Source organism: Homo sapiens, chromosome 2 (genome assembly GCF_000001405.40).
Source record: "Homo sapiens chromosome 2, GRCh38.p14 Primary Assembly".
NCBI lineage: Eukaryota > Metazoa > Chordata > Mammalia > Primates > Hominidae > Homo > Homo sapiens.
Genome location: NC_000002.12, coordinates 225,876,143 through 225,892,298, shown reverse-complemented (window position 1 = coordinate 225,892,298; position 16,156 = coordinate 225,876,143). Strand labels below are relative to the sequence as shown.

The 16,156-nt window shown below is 36.8% G+C and overlaps 2 long non-coding RNA genes across 5 annotated transcripts in view; one reads left to right on the top strand and one right to left on the bottom strand.

The window, feature by feature from the left end:
- Nucleotides 1-707: 707 nt before the first annotated feature.
- The window catches only part of LOC105373914 (uncharacterized), a 211,043-nt gene continuing 195,594 nt past the window's right edge, over nucleotides 708-16,156 (top strand). For 3 of the 4 annotated variants that reach the window (XR_007088108.1, XR_007088109.1, XR_007088110.1), the window contains exons 1-2: nucleotides 708-788; nucleotides 6,470-6,642. This is a non-coding gene — a long non-coding RNA (uncharacterized LOC105373914). Of the gene's footprint in view, nucleotides 789-2,650; nucleotides 2,758-6,469; nucleotides 6,643-16,156 lie in introns of all 4 variants that reach the window. The other variant, XR_007088111.1, reaches the window with a different exon arrangement.
- The window catches only part of LOC107985992 (uncharacterized), a 118,146-nt gene continuing 105,570 nt past the window's right edge, over nucleotides 3,581-16,156 (bottom strand). Inside the window, exons 2-3 of the long non-coding RNA XR_001739907.2 lie at nucleotides 7,954-8,015; nucleotides 3,581-5,941 (exon numbers count right to left, since the gene is read on the bottom strand). This is a non-coding gene — a long non-coding RNA (uncharacterized LOC107985992). The remainder of the gene's footprint in view (nucleotides 5,942-7,953; nucleotides 8,016-16,156) is intronic.

The following is a 16,156-nucleotide window of genomic DNA, read 5'->3' as shown; positions in this document are numbered from 1 at the left end:
TGTAAAGAAATCAAAACTTACTTTATTTTCTAATATAACTGAAAAGGAGGATGTAAAAATATAAAATCAGAGTCTAATAACTACTTTACATATTTATTTTAAAAATTAGATTATACCTATCTGTGATATAAATTTCTCTACATAATCATTATTACATTAGAAATAAATTTAATTGAGCCATCATGATAAGGGGATTAGATTGAATACCCGACTCTGAGTTCCAGAATTGAATAATAGGACCTCATACTTAAAAGAGTTCTGCAACAAATCCAGCATAGAATTGGAAATCCCTTTAGAATTTGAAAATTGAGACCAAGAGAATGTAAGTGAATCATCCAAGATCACAAATGATTTAAAATTTAAATACTTTCCAACTTTACAGGCAAGTGTAAGCCCCTGGATTTTGATCTGTAGCCTCCTAGAGAATTCCAGCTGCCCTGTGGACCAAGCACTCAGTCTATGCTCTGAGAAGTGGATACTATTTGGGAGAAAAGGACCTTTGAAGCTACTAGAATATCAAATTGTGCAAGGGAAGGGACACAGGGTGAGGTAGTTGTCTCACCCTCCTCTCTTCTCCGGACCTGCAGAGCAGGGGCTGATCCCTGGTTGGCTCCCGGCTAGATTCCCAAAGACTTTAAAGGCTGATTGGTTCCCAGTGAACTTCTAAGAAGAAGTCGGTTCACTATTGGGCGATGGGTTCACTGGAAGCCCAAACGTCGCCATTATACAAAATACGAAAGATGAGAGAGAGCTGAGACAGAAGATACCAGACACAATACTATTCAGGGGTAAGGGAGAAGCCCAGTTATCCTTTTTGCTGCTCATTCCATTCCTCTTTGTCCCTCTGTTCCTCTTTTCCTCTTGTAACTCTCTCTCATCTCTCTTTTTTCACAAACTTCTCTCTGTGCCTCTCTTTCTCTCTTATCACTGACATTCTACTTCTCATTAAGAGCTTATTAGACCTGTACCATTACTCCTTCCACTGATAATGTCAGTCATATGTCTCTCTTTAACTGGTAGATTGGCAAATGGAATTCAATTTACTTTTACCAACTTTTGTTGAAGGCCAAACAGTGTTTCTAGGAATAAGTCACAGTTGCTAACCTCAGTGACTTTAAAGTCTAGGCAGACGGTTAAGACCTTAGGCAAATAATGGTCCTTCAATTTTCTTAAGTAGGAATAGATTTGATCACATCTACCTGAGTGAACCAGAACAAGCATATGAAGTAAGTAGGTAATAATTGAATTGAACAATTATTTACCACAGTAGGTAATTAGGCGGAGAGACCTTAGCTTGTTTTTTCAATTGTTAGTGTGGAAGAAAATACTAGATAAGGAGGATGAAACTAGTTTGGGGAGAGATTTCCATGCCAGGCTCCGAAATTCAGAGATGATTAAGTAGTTAGCGATGATTCTTTGAAAATATATTTAAATATAAAAGTGACATACAGTATTTGTTACATGTAACTTAAGTGACCCAAACTGACTAGAATCAACTAAAAAAAAAGATAACTCGTGAAAATAAAACAAAAGCAGATGGAAAGTGGGGCACACTGCTTGTTTGTGTGGTTGCTTGCTTGTGGTTATTTTTTATCTATCAACGTGATTAGTTATACGACATATTTTGAGAATCATACGTTTTGCCAAAAATTAAAATAATTAAAAATTGAAATAAAACAAACGAAATTTAAAAAACATAGAAACTTAAGCCTAGTATAATTTTAAGAACTACAAAGAAAGCAAGCATTTATTTAGTAAATATGCAAGAAAATAATCAGATTCTGCTCCCCTTTCATTCATTCATTCATTTTTCTCAACAAATAAATACTAATTGTCTGTTTTGGCCAGAACTATTTCAGGGATGAAAAGGTATCCCTTTCTTCCTTACTTTAGAGAAATGTAGATTTTGTGGTAGAAGCTCAGCATATCTAAAGACACCCAAATAGAATATATTCTACACCACTTTGAAGTAGTTTGAATGTCACCTGAAACAGAATATTACTTCTAATCCATTTCAGGCCATCTGTTTTTTTTTTGTTTTTCACTTTTCTCTTATAGACTAAATATTATCATAGTATTAGCACATATAGTATATATCAATCTATATAACATATGGTATTGGGAAACATTTTTACTAATAGGGATATTTACAAGAGAATTATGTCTCATTACGTATGTTCACAAATTTTAATAAACTCCTGTTTCTGCCCATTGCCAAAATGTTTCCTATCCTCTCAAGAAATAAAACTGTTACTTTGTTTTTGGTTGAACTCATAGAATATTTTCTTTTTTAGGGTAAAATTATTACTTTTCTTACATAAGTCATATCCTAAAGTCATATATTAATATGTTGAATTCCATACCTCACCAACTGGGATATAAATGATATAAATTATGTTTGAAGTGGAAAAAAAGCTTTTAAGATGGGCTGATGGCCATTGTCTTAAATATTACTTTCCCAACACCAGGGGTTACACCTGGAAACTGTTCATCATAGCCAAAAAGGCAGGGCTCCTTGGGATGTGGCTCATCAGAATGACTAATACAAAGTCACTTTTCTCATAAATCTGCCTATTCTCCCACCATCTGTTATTTGCATTTTTCCAGAAAGTTAAAAAAATACTGATGGAATGTTTTGACCCAATTGCAGTTAAATTCACATGGTTTACTCTTTGAGTTCCCAAGATGACATTTCAGCCAAGCCCTATAGTGGGGTGTTGCATCAGAAGATCTTCTATTATACAATGGGAATTCCAGGTGAGACATCTAGAGGCAAAAGGCGGAACTGCTTAAAAATTCAACTATCATTAGTAATATTTTGTTTCATATCAATTTTGAGCTACAAAAATCATCTAAAAATATGTACCCATCACTGAATTACTACCCTCTGTTCAACTCATAAAACTTTACATGTTTTAGCATGCCAGACATATGAGCTTAGTAGTTTTTTTTAATTTACAATGATTTGATAGAATGATTTGCATAGATTTTAAACTATCAACACCAAAGCATATTTCCAATTCAAGGAAAATGTATACATATAGAATACATATTATGTGTTATGTCTAGACATGCACACAGACATTTGAGCTTGGACAAAAGCAAGGTCATGCCTGTTTAAAGCTATTAATCTAGATGATGTTTCATTAAAACCAAAGGCATATGTAACATTTGTAATAAAAGCCAAACAAACAAATAAAAACTTTATTTGCCTAATTACATCTAAGACATTCTACTGGATACTGAGCTAATAGTGGTAAAAAAGGCAGAGATGGTCTCTGCCCTCATGGAGTTTATAATCTAGTATGAAGAGAGAGAGACTTCAAAAAGCAACAATAACAGGATGGATTATTACAAATTACAGGAATTGCTATGAAGGAAAGCAGAATATAAACTCATGGAACTGTAGATGTTCATTGACAGAGTGGCTTTAGACATCATCTAGTGATCAAATGTGATATTTCACAAATAAATAATATATTATTTGTGATATAATTGTGATATAGTCTAAGGTGATTATGGGATCTGTCCAAGGTCACATAACTATAGGGGGCATACATCAAATAAGACATAGAGAAAATTGACAGTTGATTATTTTTATTGCAAGAAGAGTTTGAAAATTTTTAATTAATTTTTTATTGACATAATAGATGTACATAATTCTGGGGTATATGGGGTAATATCATACTTTCATATAATTTATAAAGATCAAATCAGTGTATATTAGGGTTCTCCAAAGGGACAGAACTAATAGGATATATGCATATATGAAGGGGAGCTTATTATGAAGAATTGACTCAAAAAATCCCAAGGTGAAGTCCCACAATAGGCCATCTGCAAGCTGAGGAGGAAAGAAGCCAGTAATGGCTCAGTCCGAGTCCAAAAGCCTCAGAAATAGGGAATCAAACAGTGCAGCTTCAAGGCCCAAGAGCCCCCCGGCAAATCACTGGTGTAAGTCCAAGAGTCCAAAGGCCAAAGAACCTGGAGTCTGATGTCCAAGGGCAGGAATAAGGGATGGAAGCATCCAGCATGGGAGAAAGATGAAAGCCAGAAGACTCAGCAAGCCCTCTTCTCCCACCTTCTGCCAGCTTTGTTCTAGCTGCACTGGCAGCTGATTGGGTGGTGCCCACCCACATTGAGGGTGAGTCTTCCTCTCCCAGTCCAGTAACTCAAATGTTAATCTCCTGTGGCAACACCCTCACAGACATAGTCAGACCCAATACGGCTATTTAGGCATCCTTCAATCCAATCAAGTTGACACCTAATATTAACTGCCATACAGTGTGATTGGGTATACATCACCTTAAATATTTGTCTTTTCTTTATGCTAAAAACATTCAAATTATTCTTTTCTTGCTATTTTGAAATAAACAATAGAATCATGCTACTCATCTATCAAATGTTAGGTCTTATTTTTTCTATTTAACTGTATATTAGCACCCATTAATCAACTACTCTTCATTTTTCCTCCCTTCTACCCTTCCCAGCCTCTGGTGACCACCAATCTACTTGCTATCTTCATGAGATCCACTTTTTTTTAAGTTCCCACATATGAATAAGAACATGAAATATTTGTTTTTCTGTGCTTGTTTTATTTCACTTAATGTAATGACCTCCAGTTCCATCCATGTTGTTGCAAGTGACTGGATTTCATTTTTTTATGGCTGAACAATATTCCACTGTGTACATATACCACATTTTGTCTATCCAGTCATCCACCGATGGGCACTTAGGTTGATTCCATATGTTGGCTGTTGTCCCTAGTGCTGCAATAAACATGGGAGTGCAGGTATGTCCTCTATGTATTTTCTTTCTTTTGGATACATACCCAATAGTGAAATTGCTGAATCATATGGAAGTTGGATTTTTAGTTTTTAAAGAACCTCCATACAGTTTTCTATAGTGACTGCACTAATTTACATTCCTACCAACAGTGTACAAGTATCCCCCTGTCTTCATATCCTCACCAGCACCCCTTATTTCCTGCCTTTTTGATAAAAGCCATTTTAACTGGGGCGAGATGATATCTCATTTTGACTTGCATTTCTCTGATGATTAGTGATGTTGAACACTTTTCATTGACTTCTCAGTCATTTGCATGTCCTTTTTGAAAAATATCTATTCAGATATTTTGCCAATTAAAAAGATCAGATTATTTGCTTTTTTTGGTATTGAATTGTTTGAGTTCCTTATATATTTTGCTTATTAATTCTGTCAGACTGATAGTTTGCAAAGATGTTCTCCCATTCTGTGGGTTGTCTCTTCACTTTGTTTTGTTGATTGTCTCTTCACATGTTGTTGTCTCTTTAAGGTCAGCCACTGGTTTCTTTCTTTGTCCATTTAAGGAGGTCCCTGTTTGCTGTAGTTTCTTGTGGATGTATGTCTATGTCTTTGCATTAAAGGATGAGTTATTTATTCCAGTCTTCTTTGTCTGGCTTGTTTTGGTTTTTATTGGGTATGTTTACTTACATATTCTTTGTAATTTACCTGTTGCTTTTCTTTCTTTTCCTACAAGGTTGATGCCTCCTTTTAGGCCCTAGATGCTGCTTTAAGCTCACGTTTGCCTAGGAGCTAGTAACATATCAAACTGTGCCCATCTTGAATGGCAGAGGTCCCAAAGGTAATATCCTGGTAGTGTGGGAAGGCCAGCTAGGCATTCCTGCCGAAGGGCCTGTAGAACAACCTTCCTGCATCATTCTGCTGTTACATGGACACTCTGATCTCACTTCTCCTTTGGCCAAGTTACAGAGCAAAGTTTTTGGGACTGGGTGTGATAGTGCTGCCTCCCCACTTTGTCTCGGAATGTCCCCAGAGATATTTCTGTCTTCAGGCACTAGCAATGATTCCTGTGGGTTGAGGCAGGGAAAAGTTTCTGCTAGGGAGTCCAAGATGCTGGGGAAGCTGGTTGTCCACCTTGATCCCACTTTTTCCAGTGTAGAACCTGTGAATTAGGAGGAAATTGTCACTGTACTTTTTCCTGGGCAGAAAAGGGATAGGGGACTTGTGGATACGGGAGTCTGATTCTGTTCTGCTCAGAGTTTTACATCTCTCTGTGACACCAGGAACTCTCTCATTCTCATGTTTGAGTTCTGGGATATTGCTCATGATAATTGCCATGTGGTGTATTTGTTTTTGGTTTTCGGTGGGGGCAGTAAAACTGACTTGTTTCTGTGACGCCATTTTGGAACTGGAAGTGAAAGATGGTTAATTTTATATACAAAAATAGTCTATATTAAATTTAAATAACCCTTGATTTGCCTAGCTTTTCTGGAGTAAAATGAGATCAGAAAAGCAGTAGAGGAAAAGATTCTCCTTGGTTTACAAATACCAAAAGATAAATAAATTTGGTGATCCTTTTCAGGAGGTTTATCAGTCAGGCTAAGTTATATTTTGATAACAAATAATCCTAAAATTTTAGGGCAACACATCAAGAAAGGTCCCTCTCTCTCATGTCCTATGTGTTTCATAGGTTGCCTGTGTCTGTACCCCGTTTCATCTTCACTTCTGGGAACCAGGCTGATGGAGAAGTCTTCTAGCAGAAGTACTATGGGTCATGATGGCAGAAAGAAGAGCAAACTTGGTGGACCATGTGCTGGCCCTTGATGGGTCTACTCAGATGGGTCACGTATCTCTGCTCACAAGGTGAGTCCCTGGTTTCACCTGAGTATAGTTTTATTGCCAGGAGAGGCATCAAGTATGGGAGAATAATATACTACCTACCACATGCATGGAGTATATATGTTTTTTATATAAAGACTCTAAGGGGTGCAATATTTTAGTGAAAGGAACACGCTGGCTGTTTGTCTGGATTAGTTCTTAACAGTTATTTACTCCCTCAGTTTGAATCTACTTTCTGCTGGTAATAGCTCACTCATTTTTTGCTTGTGGAGGTCCTTCCTTCTCTCTTAGCTCAGGAGATCTAAGTCCCACCTCCAACTTTAAGAATGAAATATCCACTTTATATGCCATCTAAGCCAATCGCTACTTTATATTCTCCTGGCCATGAGGATTGGGTCAGAAGTGGGGACTTTATCTACAGCAAGTCTAGTTAAAGCAATTTTCATGCATTTTGTGAAGCCACGGGTAGATGGTAACATAAAAGAGAACTTTTTCCTGTGGGATCTGGACCTTGAAGCATGTGAAGCAGAAGCTGCTGCAGTCACCATGCTCATACTCAGAGCTCAAGGGTGAAACCCAACATAGGGAAGAGGGGACTATTGACCTGAGATGTGTAGAGAATCAAAACCCTTGCAAAATGTCTGGGCTCCTGAACGCAGCTATTCCTGAATACAGCATTGCTCTTAGGTTTTATAGTTATTGGGGGGTTTCGTTGTTGTTGTTGTAACTAATTTATTTGATTTGGGCTTTCAACGCTTGCAACTTGAAAAACATAATGTATGTTTTGGGAAACTTATTCTGAGTCTATGCCTTCTTCTCTGTTTAAAGAAATAAGAAGAGGATAATTGAATTAGATGACATCCAGATTTGGCATTTTATAATTTCATAATTTAAGACACCTTATTTCATGATTAAGATGTTAATAGAAGAACATTAATGTTTATATCCAATTGAAATTGGATTTCTAGCACATCTCTAATAATGTTGGTGACAAAAGTTGCTCTTTTCCATGGTAATGCAGCTTTATTCTATGACATGGGTACTTTACAATTACTTCTCAAGGGTCAAGAAATTATCGCAGAATAAATCTGCTAATACAGTTTTAATCATTGTTGAGTCACTAGCTTGAAAGTTTCCTAAGTCCCAGGCCCCTTCAATACCACCTCTTCCCCTATTGGAGCTATAATAAGGTAAGAAGACAGTATATAATACATGTAACATACAAAATGTATGTTAATTGACTATGTGATGGTTAAGGCTTCCAGTCAACAGTAATCTATTAGCAGTTAAGAAAATGTTAGTTAAAAAATTGTAAGAAAGAGAAAGTATATTTACTTTTCATTCAGTGGAAGTGAATCAGCATAAAGGCCTTCATCCTTGTCTTCGTGTTGACTAGGCTGAGGAGGAAGAGGAAGAGGAGGGGTTGGTTTGGTTGTGTCAGGGATGGCAGAGGCAGAAGAACATCCATGTATATATGATTGGACCTGCACAGTTCAAACCTGTGTTTTCCAGGGTCCGCTGTACAGTCACATGTCACTTAACAACAGGAATATCTTCTGAGAAATGCATGATTACATGATTCTGTCATTGCACGAACACCATCAAGTGAACTTACATAAACCTAGATGGTACAGCCTGTTGCACATCTAGCCTATCAGGTAAAGCCTATTGCTCCTGGCACAGACTTGTACAGCATGTTACTATTCTGAATACTGAAGACAGTTGTCACACAGTGGTGAGCATTTGTGTATCTACACATATTTAAACGTTGAAAAGATATATCAAGAAAACAGTATAAGAGATAAAACATGGTACAGCCGTATAGGGCACTTACCATGAATGAAGCTTGAAGAACTGGAAGTCAGTGACTGGTGAGTGAATGTGAAGGCCTAGGGCATTACTGTATATGACTGTGGGCTTTATAAACATTATACATTTAGGCTATACTAAATTTATTGAAATATGTTTTTCTCTCTTCAACAATAAATTAACCTTAACTGACTACAACTTTGATACTTTATAAACTTCTTAATTTTTTGAACTTTTTTGACTCTTGCAATAGCACAGCTTAAGACACAAACACATTGTACAGCTGTACAAATATTTTCTTTATATCCATATTCTTTAATCTTTTTCCCGATTTTTGAAATTTCTCATTTTTATTACATTTTACTTTTTAAACTTTTTAAAATTAGAAACGAAGACACAAACATATCCATTAACCTCAGATAAAAAAATGTACCACTGTTTTCCATCTTCATATCTTATCCCACTGGAAGGTCTTCAGGGGAAAAAACATGCAAGGACCTGCCATCTCCTGTGATAACAATGCCTTATTTTGGAATACCTCCAGAAGGACCTGCCTGAGGCTGATTTTCCACCTAATTTTTTTATAAGTAGAAGAAGTACACTCTAAAATAACAATAAAAGTATAGTATAGTAAATACATCGACCAGTAACATCGTCATTTATTATCATTATCAAATATGTCCCCTACACAATTGTCTGTGCTAATTTTATATGATTGGCAGTGCAGTAGGTTTGTTTACACTAACATCACCACAAACACATGAGTAATGCATTGCGCTACAACGTTATGATGGCTACAGCATTACTAGGCGATAAGAATTATTCAGCTTCATTATAGCCTCATGGGACCACTGTCCTATCTGCAATCCAACATGGACTGAAATGTCTTTATATGACACATGACTATAGCCGTTTTTGCAACTACATGAGGAGACATTAAGCCCAGTAACATGTTACATCCAAACCTGGTGGCAATTCAATTCCACAAACAATACTAAGCTCTGGTACTGAGCTTTACATACGTGAAAGTGTCAGGTTAAATATGATAGGGACATGCAGATAAAATCAGTTCTTTATACTCAGTGAGTTGGCACTGTCTCGGAAGATAAGGCAAGCATCAATAGATAGAGATGGGTTTCAAGGTGGAAGAGGTCCTACATTGTAAGGGAAGAGGAACTGAAAGTATTTCCTGGAGGAAATAAAAATTGAAGCAGATTTCGTGAAGCTAAAAACTCAAAATGGTGTTGATGATAATGATGATAAACAAGCAAAAAACAGAAACAGCTAAAATAATAAGGAATGTTTATTAAAGTATTACTTACAAATTCCAGTAATAATCCTATGAAGATCATATGATTAAGTCCTCGTAATGACATTGAGAGGAGGTACGCTTTCTTCATATTATGGTCAAGTACTGCTACAGCCCAGTGTGTTGAAATAACTTGTCTATAGCTACACAGCTAGCAGTGGAGTCAGGATTCATATCCAGGTTTATCTCATCCTAGAGCTTGAGCACTCATCTCACGTCTTGTCTCCTTGCCTTGGTCTAATGCTCCTTCTTCCTTCTCAATGTGTCCCATGCTCACCCTGTTCTGGGCTCTAGGGCCTCTGAAAGAAGGAAACTGTCCCGGCTTGCTCTGTCCTAGGACTCCAACAGTCATAACAGAGTTATATTGATGCTGACTATGCTGACAAAGTGGAGGTGACCCCACGAGGGCCAATGTCTTACCAAGGACTGGTCCAATCCAATAACAGAGCCGAAGGGTGGTCCCAGGGTATTCTGAAACCCCTTGCGGGTGGGAAATTTCTTCCCTGCTTCTTAATCCTTTACCTTGAGCTGTTAAGTATCACTTACGCTCTCAGCCAGTTGATGTAGGAGTCAACTAGTGGTGAATGCCCCACCAAATGATGCTGAGTCCATTTGTTTCAAATATTTAAGTAAGGGGAAGAACTAGAAAATCACTTCTTCATATTTTCTGAAGTGATAATACTTGTATTAGAATATGAATGGTGTTGAAAGTATGATGTCCAAGAATATGCCCTGAAAATCTTCCCAGTTTTTTATGTGCTAATCTTAAAATTCTTAAGGAGTGCTGACTACATTGTGACTATAATTTAGGTGTTTCTCTTGGGAAATTGCATTTTAACAAATATCTTTGAAATAATCTTGTTGTACTGTAGCATTCTGGTTATAAGATTTTCAAAGAACAATAGATTTATTAGACTAAGAATTTTGTGAATTAAATCAAGAGACTGTCATGAAAAATTGCAGTGTTTGGTTTTGTTCTTTAAAGACACTGAAGGCAAATAAGTCTTCACCTCTTCTGAGGTGACCACTTCCCCATAAAAGTTTACCTTCTCTGTTGATTGCTGAAACTTGAAGGTCTTCTGGTTTTCAGTCTTATTTTTATATGATTCTGTTTGTCATTTAATTGTTTCAGCTTAGAATTTGCCTGTGGGCCCTTTGAGTTGTGACAAAACAGCTGGCACATGACAAGTTGCTAGAGTTAACAGCCGCCCGTCACACTCCATTGCCAACTGTGACACCAATGATGAACGCAATTCCAGTTTAAAATGGACCCATTTTTTAACCTCGGAAAATTGTCTTTGTGATTTTGAGCTGTCAAGAGGAAAAGAAAATATCCACAGTAACCTATATCTAATTTGTCATTTCTTTAATGCTTTTCTCATACTGCTTTTTATTGATAACCAAAAGGTTATATAAATTAAAAATATAGATTTAAGAAGCATATGAAAAAGAAAGCACATTATTAAAGAACCACATGGAAAATATGGCACATTTTAAGGGAAAAATATGAATACCTTATCTCACACTTCCTAGGACATGAAATATCATAATAAACTAAGTAAAATACCATTACAAAGTAGACTATAGGACTGGGCATGGTGACACATACCTGTAGTCCCAGCTACCTGGGAATCTTAGGCTCAGGCAATCCTGAGCTGCAGTGCACTATATTCATGCCTATGAGTAGCTACTACACTCCAGCCTGGGCAATATAGCGAGACCCCATCCCTAAAAAAATCACATAAAATAAAAGTAGATTATATGTAAGAAGGTATTAAAGAAGGTTGCAAAATTTTAATCAGAATTTATATTATATTGTCATATTTAAGTCAAAGATTGCTACACTTGATGTCTTACAAGTCACCAAATATAAATCACTCATCCTTAAAGATTAAAGTTCAAACTTTCTAATACCCTATTGTGATTAATTGGAAATTAAACATCTAAGAATCTGTTCTGGTTTTTTTTTTCAGTATGAAACAAGCCTTCTACAAGAGTCCAGTAGAAAAGTAACACTTCACACAAAAAGTCATACTATCTTTACTACATGAGGATGAAAAGATAAATTTGAACAACACTGTAACAAAGCAAAAGTTAGAATTTGAGTGATATAGAAATAGAAAAATGAGAAAAGAACAAAAAGTAAATGACAAAGAAACAATAACAAAATGGAATGAGCCTTAAAAAATGACCAGATGTATTATGATTTAAAATATTCCCGTATAACCCCTTTGGTTTGTTCAAACTTTATTTTAAAAGTTAGAAACACTCAAATTCAATCATAAGGCAAAATTCCCAGTTACTATTTATAAGAAATATAGCTAATCCAACATGGTCCAGAAATAGAAGAAATGATGAGTTAAATAAGACACTACAGGCATAGAAAGGAAAAAATGAAGTAAAATAAACATGTCACGGTAAAAATTAGGGAAAGAATATATTCAATCACCACAGGGCTTACCTATACCGATAAAAGGTCCACTCCACCTTGAAAATATAGTAGCCATGCATATTGAAATACTGAGTAACTAAGATTAAAGTGAGAGGTTGTCCAAGATCACAGAGTGTATAAATCATAGAACTGGAACTTATACCACATTTCCTGTAGCTGAAAAGTTAATGCTCTTTCCAAGCTGATCAAGTTTTCAAAATATGGTTAGTCATGGATGCCCCAGTTAGATAAATTTCATTAACATGACTTCATGTGTGCACACTTTAAGGCTTCACGTGTAGCAGGACAACCTGTGATCATTTTTGGAGATTAAAAACACTATTACCACCAGCCAGCTGCAGTGCAAAATATGGAAATTTAGCCTCTGAGATCCTTTCCCATTTCTTTCTCGACCCCGAGTCCTCCTGTGCCCCCTCCAAATGCCCTCCTGTAATATTCCTTCTCACCAGGCACTCTCACTGGCTATTGTAAACTATGCTTTTTAGCACCATCTCTGCATCATCTCTTGTGCCCTTCATGAGAAAATTTTGTAAATGTTTTACCCTAGTCAACTACACCTAGGCAAGGAGAGACTCTTAGAACATCAGCTGGTGGCACAGGGCTGCTTTTGGTTCTCTGCAAATTCAAGGCTTCTTACTGTAGAATACAGATGTCCAGTCTGTTGGCTTTCTTGCCCCACACTGGAAGAAGAATTGTCTTGGGCCACACATAAAACATACTAACACTAACGAAAGCTGATGAGCTTTTAAAAATTTCAAGAAAAGCTCTTAGTGTTTCAAGAAAGTGTATGAATTTTTGTTGGGCTTCATTCAAAGCTGTCCTGGGCTCTATGAAACCCGTGGGTCATGGGTTGGACAAGCTTGCTCTAGAATGAGCAAAGGGGAGCCTGAGAAGCTGGGAAGGGAGAAGTCATTATTCCTAGCGTAGGACAGAGAAGGAGCTCACCTTTCCTGTGCTCAGTATATTAGGAAAACCAAAGTGAGTATGCACACTTCACTTGATCCCCAGAATGTTCCAACAGGTATTTCTTTCAGTATCTAAAGTAGCCACCCCCATCAGCCTAACCCCCTTAACTGCAAAAGTTTTTCTTCATATTATTTGTTTTCAATGTTACATATTTATTGTTTTAAACAGTCTTCCCTAATATGAGGGCAAGAATCATGTCTGTTTTGTTCACTGTGTCTCCAGGACACTGGCACGTAGTAGGGACTCAACAAACATTTGTGGAAGGAAAGTTGGAAAGAAGGAAGAAAGGAAGTGAGGAAGGAAGGGAGGAAGGAAAGAAGGAAGGGAGGGAGGAAGGAAGGAAGGAAGGAAGGAAGGAAGGAAGGAAGGAAGGAAGGAAAGGGGATGAAATGAAACAAAATGAAAATAAATGGAGAATCTATTTTTTCAGTGTGCTTTTCTGGAATAAGAGAAAATTCTAAGTTTCCACATAAAACTAATGATCTCTATTTTTCCACAATATTTTACTACGCTTTTTTAAAGTAATTAAGTTTGTTTTACATGTGAATGCCTTCCTGAATGCTTGCCTAAAAAGGAATCAAAACTAAATTACTTCTATAGCGGAGATATAGCTACCCTTACTAAGCAATCAGTTTCCTTTCACATGTTTTATATATAATGTCAAAGAATACTTCAAAAAAAAAAAACAAATTAACTTGAAACATCATGATAAGTGGTATTTTTCTGCCAGATGCTGAAGCAACCACTAAGAGCATTTCTTATCTTCTTTCTTATTGACATACACTTTAGGTTAGCTGTGTTCATGGCATGTACATTGATATAAAAACATGTTACCCTTGTGTAAAGGGTCAGTGAAGCACATGACTTTTGACAGGTAGCTGCCTTCAGTTTAGTTCTCTAACCATCTATAAAATACAGTAAATTTAAATTTTTATGCAAAACAATAAGGGGGTGGAGAGAAGTTAAATTGTTGATATTCATGTATCAGAATGTCTTCCAGATAATAGCAAAGATATTATTATAGCTTGTTCTTTTGCCCAGAGGGATTCAGCTACTTTATAAAATGATCCAATCAGTTTTCCCAGAATCTTTATTAAATAGCCAATGCCATTAGATAGCAAATGATTGATTTCTATTGGAATGCATCTTAAGGCACTTTTCGTTAATGGATGCTATTTACCTGGCCTCTTTAGGTTAAATTAACATAATATCATGTATTATAATCAGACAAAGTCCTTTTAATTCATATTTCTATCTAATGTGGTTTTCTAAATGCTTAATAAAGAAAATAAAATGTTAAAAATTACTAGGATGGTAATCAAAAACAGATTCATGTGAGATGAGAGAGGGTCCTGAGCTCCAGGTGAGGAACTCCCCCAAGTTGATACCTTGATTTCAGCCCGTGAGACCCTGAGCAGAGAACCCAGTGGAACTGTGCCTGGACTTCTGACCTGTAGATACAGTGATATAATACATGGATGCTAGGTTAAGCCATGAAGTGTGTTATTATTTCTCATGCTGCAATATAGAATTCTTTGTGTACATGAGTTTAATCCTACAGACTTTTGGATGTTTGACCATTTTTTGACGCATAAAATAATGGTAATTTCATAGAGTTCAATAACAAATAATCATGCTGATTAGCAATTTGTTGTAAGACTGAGACTCCTAGCAGCTAGAAGCCACTTGCAGTTGCCTGCCACGAAACCCTCCCCATAAGCAATTACATGGCAGTTTGTTTCCGCAAGGCCAGCGGCAGAATATGTCTACTTCTATGTACAACCTCTAGACCCTCTTTTAAAGGACTCACCTGATTGAGGAGTGGGGTTCACCTAATATAATCTCCTTTTTGATTAACTGAAAGTCAACTGATTTAGGACCCTAATTTCATCTGCAAAACTCTTTCACCTTTCCTATAATCTATTGGTTAGAAGCAAGTGACAGGTCTCACCCATACTCGAGGCAAGAGGATAACACCAGGAGGTGTGTCATTATCATTTAAATTACTCTCACTCAGAAACTGGTTAATTTGTTAATACAATGTGTCTAAGAAAATGATCTGTAATTAATTATCCAGAAAATCAAAGTCTGTTTGTCTCTATCTTTTTGTTTCTCTCTCTCTCCATAGTTCAGCTGCTATTTATTTTAGTCTGTATATGGCAAGCAGTTTTTCCCTTACACAACTTTGTTAGTTGTAGATAATTCTTATTCTTTACCTCTTCACTACTATAAAGTCTGTAACAATTTTATTGCTGAGATATGTGGGAATTTTGCTGATACACCTTCTGCTAAATGCCTGAGGCTACTTACTTATGCCCAGAGATATTTTGTCTCTTTACATGTTTATGGGGCTTTATATTTTGTTCACATTGCTTTGGTGTGCTTGCTTCCTTAATTCATTTATGTATTCAAAAATGTTTCAGGAGCCTACTCTGTGTCAAGGGAGATGAATATAGGCATCTCAAGAGTGGGGCTTAAAATCTAGTAGAGGAGACAGATATTAGTCAAATAATCATACAAAAATGGATAAATTGTGACTGCGACAATAGATATCAGAAAAAAAAAGTCCATGGCTTTACATTTGGACAATCTGCCAAATCAGAAAGTCCGGCTGTATTTCCCCGAGTTAAGAATGTTTGAAGTAGGTCTGAAAGGTGAGAAGAAGGGATAAGGCTAAGTGGAGGGAAATGAACATTATGCACATGGGGCAGGACATGTGCCAAAGCCCTGTGGTAGAAGGGAGTGTGATGAGGATGAGGGCCTGAGAGTAGCCTGGAGTGAAAACAAGGGTATAGGACAAGGCTGGAGGAGAAGCTGGGGACCAGATCCTACAAGTCCATATTAAGTTCCACTATTCTGAGAGCAATAGGACATTCATTCAAGAGTTTCTAGCAGGGGAAGTAGCGTGCTTCAATACAGTTTTATGCTGGGCAGTGCAAGAAATTAGAGGATATTCAAGGTGCCTCTGCTTAGATCAAGTAGGAGGCTATTTATGACCCATT